Consider the following 13,153-nt stretch of genomic DNA (forward strand, 5'->3'; position numbering starts at 1 on the left):
GTAACCCTAAAGACATCTGAGTCATCCCAGCTTATATCCCAGATCATCATGAACCAGAGAAAGCAATTTCTCCCTCCTGTGCTATGTCCAAATCTGTGTTCTGTAAAATCTATAACTATGGCAGGTACGATGGCACATGCCTGTAATCTCAGTAGTTTGGAAGGCCAAGGCAGATGGATCACTTGAGGTCAGGAGTTCGAGACCAGTCTGGCCAACGTGGCGAAATCCCGTCTCTACTAAAAATGCAAAAATTATCCAGGCATGGTGGCATGCTCCTGTAATCCCAGCTACTCAGGAGGCTGAGGCACAAGAATTGCTTGAACCCTGGTGGAAGTTGCAGTGAGCCAAGACCGTGTCACTGCACTCCAGCCTGGGCGACAGAGTGAGACTTAGTCTCAAAAAAAAAAAAATCTATAAATATGTCCTTAAATTTGTTGTTTTATACTAGTAATTTTGGTTTTTTTTTTTTTAATGCAGTACTAGATAGCACAGCATGGAAGAAAATCTCATAACAATGATGACTATTACTAGATACAATCAACGTGTTTAGAGAAAATAATACAAACTGAGGATGCTTAATCACAAGTTAAAAAGAGAATGTGAAAGCCATAGGCTCTTCTTGGCAGCATATAAAGAGACTCTCGTCTCCTGAATGCTGAGGATCGGGTCTCAGAACTTCATTATAAAAGTGGCATAGCTATAGAAGAGGTTTAATTCTCAAATTTGGCCAAGGCAAGGGCTATATTTGGAGAAGTAGGGCCTTAGAGTTCCTGGCATCTGTAGAAATCTGGGTTGATGATCTCAAAAATATTGAATCCTCAGATGCTCTTTAACCTCCTGGGCCCAAAAAGGTGGCCCAATTATCTCTGTTAAGTTTTAGTTGTCTCCATTTGCTTGAAGATTATGTAGAGTCCTCTGCCTTGCAAGATAATGTGGTTTCCCACTACCTTCAATTCCTTTCTTGGTTACCAGGCCAGTAACTAGGCTTAGGTCACAATTCATTCTAAGTATGGAGTTGGGGGGACTGATAAGAAAGGAAAATATTACACATTGGAAAGCTGCAGGTCCTACCTAGCCAATGTGGACCAGCAGGAGTTGGGAGAACATGTATGGGACTGGATCCTGAGGCTGCTGGTTCAAGCAGGGAAGAACATAAACGTAGATAAGGAGAGTTTATATAGGAGCACTTTGGAATAATAAATTATTTAGCACCATGGAAAGTACTCTATGATACAGTATTGCTGCTGTCTGTGATGCTGCCTGTGATTGCTGTCTTGATGATGGCTCTTAGAAGTTTGGAGGAAGACAACACTAAAGATGCCATACCTGCCATGGCAGATAACAGCAGAGAAACTATGTGAACTGGACCTGTGAGAGTAGCTATACCACGTCATTTAGGAAAACCCACCAGCCCACCATGTTCTGTTGGAAAGCCCAGAAGACACTTTACTTATCAATGAGATACGAAAGGCATCATTGAGAGGGGACCAGCATTGATTAAACACTTAGTAACAACTCTCTCTGTAGGCTGTGGCTGATGGTAGGAGATGCTGTTATAGAACTGGATTCACTGACGGGGTGATGGTATTGATAGCATAGTGACTTCTGGAGAGTGGTTAGTATATTACTAACTTCCACTCAATGTCAGTGATAAAGAATTACTGCAAGTATTAAATTAAACATTTCAAATTGTTTTGTAAGCAATTCATAAAATGTTATTTATATAAATGTCCTGGATGCCACTTATCTATTAAGTTCTGAGACTGAGTCATATTAACTCTGCTTCTCAGTCAAATTGCAAAGTTCCTAGAATGTAGAAGGTGCTTAATAAATGTTTGTTGATTAAATGATTGTGAAAATTGACCTTCAGTATGACAAAAATCTCAGATATGTACATGACATGAAAGTAAAATACTTACATTTTACTGTAAAGTTAACTAGCAACAATAAATTCACATGCTTATCACTGTGGAATAATAAAAAATAAACATGAAATTTTTAATCCCTTTCTTTAAAGACCAGCTGTCTAGTGGAGTCTATAATTAAGGAGACTAGACTCACAGCAGAAACAATAAAAGAAAAGACAAGTGATCACATCAAGTGTTCTTTAGTCTATATACTATGGAGATATGTTGAAATGACCATGAAGGCTTCCAGGAAGAAGTGGGGTTAGGGTTGAGTTTAGATGAGCAGAGAGGAGAATACTGAGCAGAATGGATGGCACTGCAGAAGTGGTGGGGAAGACATAGGGTGTGAGACGTCAACCAGATTGGAGGCCTGGTGAGCTTGTGGACAGAGAGGAAATAGATTCAACCAGAACCTGGCAGAGTATGTTAAATAATAGTGGAGGGTTTGCTATGGTAAGAAACAAGCAGCCATTGAAAATTTCTAAGTACTGGAGGTAGTCATGTGTGGTTCCCAGCTTAAACAAACATTTACTTCTGTCCCTATACCATGATTCTCAGGGATTTCCAGTCACCATGATAAATCTTTCAGTGTGTTTTAATATTTCTCTGTATTTTTCCTTTATGTGCGTAGCCTTTATGATGGTGTTTAGTCCTATATAATTTGAGGATAAAATTAATGTGTTTTCTTTATTTCTTCTGTATCTCACAGCTCATCTATAAAGATGTGACAGGAAATGGTTCACAGTATCCATCTTTGTCCCACTTCAGATGATTCTCACTGGCTGGGTACCTTTCTATTTATAATTATCATCCCTCTGCAATGCCAGTGAGCTCTTTTTTGATGTAGTCATTATTTCTTTCTAAGCATTTTCACTAAACTTTTCTGAGGTCAAGCATAAAAGGGCTTACTGAAATTTAGAATGGTCGATGTCTAAAACAATTTTTAGACATTTTATCAGCCAAATTGGTTCCTTATTATATGTTAAAATATGCACCTTATTAAATCAACTCTCCAGGCTTGCATGTTCTATAGAATATGTAATTTATATTCCTTTTAAAATGCCCAGAAACCTAACAGCAGATTTTGCTTAAAGGAAAAAAAGTAAAGGAAGGATGGAAAGATGCAAGGATGGAAAGAGGAAGGAAGGAAGAAGAAGGAAGGAAGGAAGAAAGGAAGGGAGGGAGGGACAGAGGGAGGGAGGGAAGGAAGGAGGCAAAGAAAAGGCACAACATGAGCTCAGTCAAGCTCCTGTTAACTTTTCTTATGTGTGACCGTGTGTTGGTCATAATGTGATATTTTACATGTAGAAGATATATCCTTTAGTGGTTAGTTCTGCTTAGGAAATATTCATGGGGTTTGGTTAAGAGACATCTGGCACAAGGTTCTGTTTTTTTAGTGTAGAATATATTTTCCATTTCAAATTATTTCAGGTGTGAAATGTACCAACAGACACCAAAATGTGCATGTCTGTGCCTGAGTATACTTTTAAAAAAATTGGAATGTTGCCCTTTATTCTTTTAATACTTATTGAACTGAGAAAAGATGGAACATGACTTAAAGAAATGCCATGAGGAGGCACAAATTGGAATATTCTTTAATCTCAACCACTTAAAATTTTTGATCATCTGAAAATGGTAGTATCTGGTTTCTAACCTGTAAACTGCTATAACATCTTTATGATTATTACACTTTGAGATAGGTTTTTCTCAATGGGGAGGTGGCAGAAGTCTTTCTGCCCGCTTGGTTGTTGCATCTCACTTATTTACTTAAATCTCCTTGTTGAGACTCTTATTTCTCTGTGTCACATTAGTGTGGATAGTCTCATTGTCTACTAAAGAGAAATGAGTTTTTGTGAGTGGCCTATTTCTGCAAACTTGGACTAAAATTTTCCATTTTGAAAGCTTGCCACCCCTAATGAGATGGCAGCTCACAGAAGCAGAGAATAAAAAAAGACGTTTAGACGTCACAGAGTTCACATCTTTTATTTATGATGACAAATGAGAGACTAAGAGGTCTGGAGATCATCACAGAGATGGGAGAAGGACTTAGAGTCCTTAACTCTTGGGTTACTTTATCTTTTCTGTCTTTACCTTCTCCTCTACACACTAAATGTTTCTCCTTTCTTTTCAACTCACAGTCAGTAGCTTCTGCCCTCACACATAGACAACACCACCGGGATGATTCTGTCAAACGTTAATCTTCACACATTCTAACTTGGTCCCACCAAATATCAGTGATCCAAATAAATTTTTATTAAGATATTTTCTGAAAAGTGCTACCATAATGTAATCACACACCAAATAATTTATAAGGGGCTACATATGGCTTTTTTTTTTTTTTTTTACAATCGTCTACTCCTCACAGATAACTCTAAATGTAGTTTTTGATTCTGGAAACTTTAGATGACTTTTTAAATTTGGGGTTCTATATTAACTAATATCAGAAGTTTCATATCTTTCAAGTTATCAAAACTAAAATGTTCCTTTATTTAAACAACTGCCTACCCCTGACCATCCTTCCCTACCAATCATAAACTTTGAATCATTGGTTTTTGTCTGTTTGTATCTTTTTCTAAAACTTCCTCCCATCTCAACTTTAACCATCATTTAGGACTGGTTAAATATATGAATCTTTGGAATTTTGGTGCTACTGACAAAAGACAGATAGCTTTTCATTAACTCCACTCTTCTGGAATAGCTCCTTTGTGGTTGCCTTTCTGGTGTGCCAGAGAACTTCTTTTTCATTTTGACTTTTAGTCCTGTTAACCTTGAATCACACTGGCCCAGGTCAACCATGTCAACCATTCAATGAATTCCAAATTATAGCTAGCAGTCAGATTGAAAAAGCATTAACTGAAATAAACTGCCCCAAGAATATGGGTAGTATAGGGGAGACAAAACAAAAAGCCACAACTCTATTCCAGGTTTAGGTCCAAAGAACCTCTGTGACTGAAATTCCATCAGGTTGTTTCACCCATATTGAAGACCATTTGGTTAGGGGAATTAAAAAGCTAAAGAACATATAAAGTCATATTTTCAAATGCCTCCCTGTTGTCTAATAGTTTAACACCATGATGTCTTTCTGTAGAGTTAGAGGTTTCTCTGAGTTAAAGTTTTACTAATTAGTTTCACCGGTATTTCTATTATTACTAAAGCAAGATGTTTTCTTTTTGAAATACATATAATTTACTAAAAAGTATAAAATAAATCACTTGTATTTCTAATATTTTGGTGTACAGTGTTTCAGACTTTTTCTATAAACCTACACATATATATGCATGTTATAAAATATTGAATTATACTGTAATAATGCTATTTTCACTCGTGCATCCTTCTATATCGAAATTATCATCCTCCTGAATGATTCCATTGATTATGGACATGGCCCAGTATCATCACTTTGTACTCATTTCTAAGTAACTTCCAATTTGAGGCTCTTACAAATAATACCGTGGTAACCATCCTTGTTTACCATCTTTACCCATTTGTCTAATGCTGCCTTAGAATTAATTTTGCATGTTAAATTTCTGAATCAAAGGGAATATACATTTTAACAGTTTGTTTGCATGTATACTGCCAAATTGTCTTTTGGAAAGTTTGTGCCAGTTTAGACTCCTGCCAATAGTTGATGAGGACCCTCTTCCCACAGTACACCACACATTAATGAGATTTTAGCATTCCTTTTACATTTGCTAATTTGAGAGATGAAGGAGGAATTTTACTTTTTCAATTTGCTTAAATATTGGTAAGGCTGAACATGTTTTCATGTTGTTTTGGGTTAAGTCTAACTAGAAAGCAAAGCACAACTTAAGTATAAATTGGGTCTAAAATTGATTTTACTTAACTGAAATAAGAAAGGCAGTAAATGCAGTCTTTGAGAACATCAAATTTGCTGAAATTAGAAGATCATTTTACTGCTGTGCCTTCTGAGCCTCTTATAATAAGGAGTGATGTGTATCAAGTACTTGTTTTATACCAAGCATTTTTCCACATGTACTGAATTTAGTCTTTATAATAACACTGTGCAGTAGGTAATACTTTTTAAATAAATTTTGTCAATGAGAAGACAGGAATAAAGAAGGTAAGTAACTTACTAAGTAAGTGGCAGAGCTAAGATCTGAACTTAGATACTGCCTCTAAAATATGCTCTTCAGCTCTGTGTTATTCTGCTGTTTTCTCTGTGCACATACCTAAGACATGTTGAGGGAAGACTGTTTATAGTATCTTCCTCTATACTATATAAACTATTAATGAATATTACTATTAAAATAAAACTAACAAGATAGGTTTCTTCTGGAAAAACTGTTTTCAGAATATCTTAAACTATTTTACTTAAAATCCTGATTTAAAAATGTGTACGTGGGCCAGGCATGGTGGCTCATTCCTGCAATCCCAGCACTTTGGGAGGCAGAGGCAGGCAGATCTGAGGATCTGAGGTCAGGAGTTTGAGACCTGCCTGGCCAATATGATGAAACCCTGTCTCTACTAAAAATACAAAAATTAGCTAGGCATGGTAGCGCCTGCCTTAGTCCCACCTACTCAGGAGGCTGAGGCAGGAGAATCACTTCAACCCATAAGGTGGATGTTGCAGTCAGCTGAGATTGCACCACTGTACTCCAGCCTGGGCAACAAAGTGAGACTCTGTCTGAAAAAAATATAAAAGTATATGTGGGCTGGGTGCAGTGGCTCACGCCTGTAATCCCAACACTTTGGGAGGCCCAGGCGGGTGGATCACCTGAGGTCAGGAGTTTGAGACCAGCCTGGCAAACCTGGTGAAACGCATCTCTACTACAAATACGCACAAAAATATTAGGTAGGTATGGTTGCAGGCACCTGTAATCCCAGCTACTCAGGAGGCTGAGGCAGGAGAATCACTTGAACCCAGCAGGCGGAGGTTGCAGTGAGCTGAGATCGTGCCATTGCACACCAGCCTGGGCAACAGAGTGAGAATCTGTCTCAAAAAAAGAGAAAAAATAAAAAGGTATATGTGTAGCTAGAATTGGTGGTCTATATTTGGGGTTGAATACCAAAAGTTTCAGAAATACAGATTTAAACTTCTTTAAATTTAGATATAATAGCTTAGGCTAAATGCTGAAGTTCCCTTGGAATAATAAGCTCTTTGTTTTTTTCACTGACTTCCCTTCTGCCCACTAATAAGCTAGTTTTCTCTTTTCCTAAACTCCTGAATTTTCAAGCTGCACTGCTATTTCTTAAGATTTGGACAGCATACCCAGAGGTACAAGGTTGGATGTGAATATATTAAACAAGTTGATGTTTAAAACATATTTAAATGCATAGGCTAATGCATGTGAGTTGCTTGTGATACATAAGTAATGAAAAAGCTGCTGCCCTGAATGACAGGAAACGTCAGGATGAAAAATTACATGATATTGGCTTATGGTAATGAGGATTAAAAACATGAAAATCATGGTTTTGAGTTAGAAGGCCAATCATCCAACAAATGCCAGGAAATACTAATTATTTGTCCTAAACCAGTACAAAGTAAGATACCTGAGTTCCAATGGGCAAAGCCCTGCTTATCTTTGATGCGATGAAGCTGTTCATATCATTCAAGCCTCACTAAGTGCATTATGTGCTTTCCACACTCATGGAAATCAATCTTTTCTTTGGATTTAGGAGGCTTTGATCCCACCTCTTGCCTCACCTTGCTGGGATTACAATTCACTGTGAAGTATCTGTGCCAGTGATGTTATCATTTTTAAAGTTTGATTTACAGATCTGAGGAAGGAAGCCTATGATATCTTTTGAGCACCAAACAGTAGGATATTTAGCCTACAGTAACTCCATGGGCAAGTCATAGCATCCTCACTTTCATATGAAGACACACAGACTGGGAAAATGAGGTTCCTGTATTCAAGGAGCAAAAATATCACTTGGGAGACTGTCAGGCACTCTCTCTCTCTCTGAGACTCTTTTTTGTCAGCCCTTTTCCTGCTAACTTCTTAAATATTTAATGCTAAAAAGCTCAGACACAAAAATGTGGTAAGAATAATCATAGCAAAGCAAGCAAACAAACAAAAAAGTTAATTCCTCTACTGATACCATTGGAGATATCCTAGTATCTTATTGGCCCAGAGGAGGTAAGATGGAAGGACGGACCCTGCGCAGTGGCTCACGCCTGTAATCCCAACACTTCGGGAGGCGGAGGTGGGTGGATCACAAGGTCAGGAGATCGAGACCATCCTGGCTAACATGGTGAAACCCCGTCCTTACTAAAAAAATACAAAAAAAGTTAGCCGGGCGTGGTGGCAGGCGCCTGTAGTCCCAGCCACCCGGGAGGCTGAGCCAGGAGAATGGCGTGAACCCGGGAGGCAGAGCTTGCAGTGAGCAGAGATCGCGCCGCTGCACTCCAGCCTGGCCGACAGAGCAAGACTCCGTCTCAAAAAAAAAAAAAAGATGGAAGGAATATCATTTTAAAAATGCATTTTCTATGGGATATAAATTTCAGTTAAGATGTAAACTTTTACAAGTTATCTTCCAAACTCCAATTACTTTTCAATTCTTCACACCACACAACTAGTTCAACTGTGACAATTTACATAGTCATCTTTTGCTCTTATTTTATAGATAAAGGAGTTATTTTTCAGTATTAATATTACAAAATAGTTATTTGTTTTTCTTCTATTGTTGCAATGAGATAAACATGTACAAGTTGTGAGTATTAGACTCAGCAATGTCCCCCTTCATGCCAGAGGACTAATAGCAATAATCCCAACAGTGAAAATACGAATACACAAATGCCACTGCTTAGATCACTGCAGCTTCTAGGGCCCAATTTCTTTTACTGATTTAAAAACAAAACAACAAAAAAATTAAAAAGTTTGCCTGACATGAATCTTGATGTTTTTGTTTTTTGTTTTTTAATAAGTAGCCACCAGAGTCCTGTAGAAAACAGACATTAGACCCTTGGTGTAGCTTCTGTTCAACTTTATATCATGGGAACAGATGGGTCTGATTTTTTGGCCCTCATCTTGAATTGCTCATATACAGGGTCCCTGGCCAGTGGACTGAAGGCTATGTCTGTGATGACAAGGCTCAGCTCAGGGGATGTGGGGGAGGGCATTTTCATTTTCACACTTGTTTGAGGTTTCGGTCCCTGGGTAAAGAGGCCATTTATCTTTGTAAATGCAAAACATTTTTGCTTTTTCCAGTTTTCTGTTAATGGCGAAAGAATGGAAGTGAATTAAGTTTTACTGATTTTTGAGACACTAAAACTATAAACAAACAAATAAATACCCAATAGTTTTATATGCAGCACTCCTCTGCCCAGGCAGTGTTCTAAATGTTTGATTTATACTTCAAAAGCCCTATCTAATGCAATTATGGGGTACAAATAATTTAAAATTCTGGTGAATCATTATTGAAAAGTTATTGTTAGCCAGCTAGGAATTCCCTGGGACAATTCTAATCCATTCTTGTTCTGGCTATGGATTGATGCCATCTGGGAAGAGCCATTGTGAATCCTGAAAGCCTAGCCCAGACTTCCAGGTCAGCATGAATGATTCCAGGGATCTGTTAATTAGGTGGCACGCCTTTCTCTCGCATAGTCCTGGGATACAGAGTCAGTAGAATTCTGGGATGTGTGCTGGGTAGAGGGTGGGAATTAATCAGGTTGTATGTGAATATGCATTATCATGGGGGAAAGTTATTCCAGATATTGTTTTCTATATTAATGCACTACAAGGTAAATCTAGGGTAAATACTACTATTTTCATCTGCATTTTTAGATCAGAGAACTGAAGTTTTGGAAATTGAGCTATGCCCACATAGTTCATAAGTGGAGGAGCTAGGATTTGAACTCGGGCAGTCTGGCTCCACTTGGATGTCTCTCTCATCTTTGACACCCATGGGCAAATCATGCATTTGCCTTGTTAGGGATTATTATCCAGGACCAACCCACCAGTGTTCTTCAAGTGTTCTGATAATGGTGGAGAGATTTATTATTGATTTAGACAACAAAAGAAGATAATTGCTTCTCTGAAAGAAGACGGAACAGAGGGAGAAATGGCCACCTCCCTATTACTCATACCTGAGTGGAGCTTCAGGAGGGCTAGCATTAGTGAGAAGTGACTCAGAAAGTCTATAAAAGCCAGCCTGCTGTTTGAGAGGAGTCATGAACCTGTCATTGGTTGACCAAAGTTACTAGTCAGACTCATCAATATTCCTGCAGCATCACAAATCCAGCAAGGTTGCAGAATGCTAACCAGGTAATTATTTCTGTGCTAGGGCTATTCTTGTTTCCTTTCTTTAACTGCAAAAGGTAAATGAAATTACCTTGTTGCTTCTTTTATTCCTTATGTTCTCTTACTGTTAGGCTCTTTCATTCTATTCTTTCCCTGCTGTTAGCAAGATGAAAAAGGCATCATATGCCAAGGCTTTCTGTTGACCTTTGGGACTTAAAAGTCTCCCATGAGAAAGAAAGCATCCTTGAAATAAATGTGGTTTCACGAAATACCTCAGGCTTGTGGAGGAAACAAATGACTCGGTTCTTTTCAACTCACAGCACTCAGCAGGCAGAAAAGCAGCAATTTGAGATTTCAGTGAGTCTGGGAGTCTCACAAGATAATGCTCAGAGTCAGCAGTCAAAGATACTAGTGAAGTATCAGTGCTGCAAGTTTAAATTGTTCTTCCTTCCCAGGGTTTGAAAAAATAGGACAGCCACAAGCTTATTAAATTCAGTGGAATTTCTTTTTCTTTTGTCAGTTTGGGGGGATTTTCCTTGTTTTTCCTGTTTTGATTTGGCAAAGAGACATCACTGATTACTCATATTCATAAAGAGCTCCAGAGAAATGAAAATGTCAAGCTGTAAGGGAGAAGCAAATGTCATAGAGCAAAGATCATCAGCTTGGGAGGAAGACAGATTTAAGTTTGAAGTGCAGATTGAGCAGTTAATTTTATCTTATTAGGAGAATCATTTAATACCTTTATTTTTCCTGAATTAGTACACTAGATTCCTAGCTTGTTTTTCTTCATCCACTGTTACCTGCCACACTTACAATTACATCTAACATGAATTACAAATTCCTCACTATGGACTATGAGGGTCTGTCTCTCGCGTTATTCCTGATTAATCTCCCTTCTTCATTCTCTTCCAGCCACACTAGCTTCCTTGTTGTTCTTTACATATACCAAACATGGATACACCTCGGGGCCGTAGACTTGTTGTTTCCTTCGCCTGAAGTCTTCACTGGGCTTGCTTCTTCCCTGCATTCAGTTCTCTTCTCAAATTCATCTTTTAAGAGCAGGCTTCCCTAAATGAATGGTCTGAAAAAGCACCCCTCGTCATTCTTGATTCCCTTATTTTGCTTTATTTTTCTTCTCAGTTCTTATCTACATCTGATGCTATATTGGCTTACATGTCTGCCAGTCTCTCCCTACCAGAGTGTAAACTCCATATGGGCATAATCTGTTTTTGTTCACCACTCTATCCCTAGTGTCTGGAGCAGTGCCTGGGCCATAAAAGGCACACAATAATTATTTATTGGATGTGTCTTGGTTTCTTTCTAAGAAAAAAAAACCTCTTTGTAGTATTTGTGAAGCTTATAAATAATGCATTAAATGGATCTCAAAATCCCCTAGTGCATCGAGGCATAATCCATCTGTGCCTCATTCTTTATCAATTGTGTGTACTCTGGTGGACTTCCAGCTTTCAGTGTATGCCACTTTGTTCCTGAGGGCTATTTCTGAAGACTTGGAAGGACAGAAGTACCCGAGAGATAACACTCCCTTCCCAGAAATCCTCAAACTCTGACTCTTAAGTGTTGGTGCATAAATATCCCAGTGCTCTTGCCTCTCAGGATAACTCTGAGATATGTTTTGCACCCTTCCCAGAACTTCGTAGGATTAAGGTCCAGCTGATCACAGTGGTAGCTAGCTACGACATCTCCTTTATTGGGTGCCTTGTTTCAGGGGTTTCCCAGTAAAATAATTGCATTGAATCTCTGTCAGGATCTGCTTCTGGGGGATCCCAAGTGGAGATGTTTAAAGAGTGGTAGTTATTAGTATATAATAACTTTTTCTAGCTCTCAAAGTGAAGGTCAGATATTTTCATATCAATTTTCTGTATCTGAATAAATGTATGTAATTGTATACTTCTTAATAATTATTAAAAATAAAGGTGTATTTCTGTGATATTTAGCTCATTCCTTAATATCTTACAGCAGTGCAGTCCTCATCTCTGTATTACATACTTGTTTTGTTCTCTTCACAATGATTAAGCTTGTTGATTACTTATATCTGGAATATATATTTGATCCTCAAACATAGCCTTGTTCCAAAACAGTCCATATATTTGGGGGTGGGGATCAGGCATTGATACCCTAAAAAATTTATCCAGTGATCTCCTGTGCACCTCATATGGCAAACTCTGGTAAATGTTCTATAATTTCTCCCTTTTTCTCAATTTCACTAGCTTTCTCCAGAGTTCTCTGCAGTTCTGTATCATCATGGAGTTTTATTTTCATCTTGAAGGTCTTTCTTCCCTGTGTTGTTAGCATTTGCTTATGGGTTCTCAGAGTTTTACATTTAGCAACTTAAAAAAATTTTTTACTCATTTAAATCTTTAAATCTTAAGAGTTTATAAACCAATAAATGATTAATTTCAAAGCATGGATGTGAAAAGTATTTAAAGTTAATTTATAGCCATTTTAACCTTCATTTAAAAATATTAAGCATTAATACAGTGTAGTATTGGCATAAGGATAGAAATATAGATTGACAGAATAGAATAGAGTCCAGAAACCAATCAATGTGATATTCGAAAAAGGTGCCAAGACAAAGCAGCAGAGAAAGAAGTCTTTTCAACAAATGGTGCAGGAACAATTGAATATTCACATTTAAAAATTATGTCAACTTTGATTTATACCTTGCACCAAACATAAAAAATCAGCTGAAAATGAATCATAGTCCTAAATATAAGAACTTAAACTATAAAACTTCCAGAAGAAAACATTGGATAAAAACTGTGTGGTCTTGGGTTAGGCAAAAGTGTCACAGATACACACCAAAATTATAATCCATAAACAAAAAGTGGTAAGTTGTACTTCATCAAAATTTAAAATGTCTGCTTTTCAAAAAACATTATTAGGACAATGAAAAGACAAGTCACATACTTGAATTGGGTATTAAAAATACAAAGCAAATAAAGGACTTACCCAGAATATATAATAAATTTTTATAACTCAATAATAAGACAAATTAATACAAAAATTGGGCAAAGAAATGTT

The 13,153-nt window shown here is 37.6% G+C and overlaps 1 annotated feature.

Annotated features, from left to right (window-relative positions):
- Positions 9,354 to 10,553: an enhancer, noted in NCBI's record as "CDK7 strongly-dependent group 2 enhancer chr10:60679234-60680433 (GRCh37/hg19 assembly coordinates)". NCBI's record gives its function as "activates an origin of replication core promoter dependent on BRD2, BRD4, P300/CBP, MED14 and CDK7 cofactors, with strong dependence on CDK7, by STARR-seq in HCT116 cells {active_cell/tissue: HCT116}" and the evidence as "EXISTENCE:reporter gene assay evidence [ECO:0000049][PMID:35650434]".

The sequence above is a fragment of the Homo sapiens genome, chromosome 10 (genome assembly GCF_000001405.40).
Source record: "Homo sapiens chromosome 10, GRCh38.p14 Primary Assembly".
Taxonomy (NCBI): domain Eukaryota; kingdom Metazoa; phylum Chordata; class Mammalia; order Primates; family Hominidae; genus Homo; species Homo sapiens.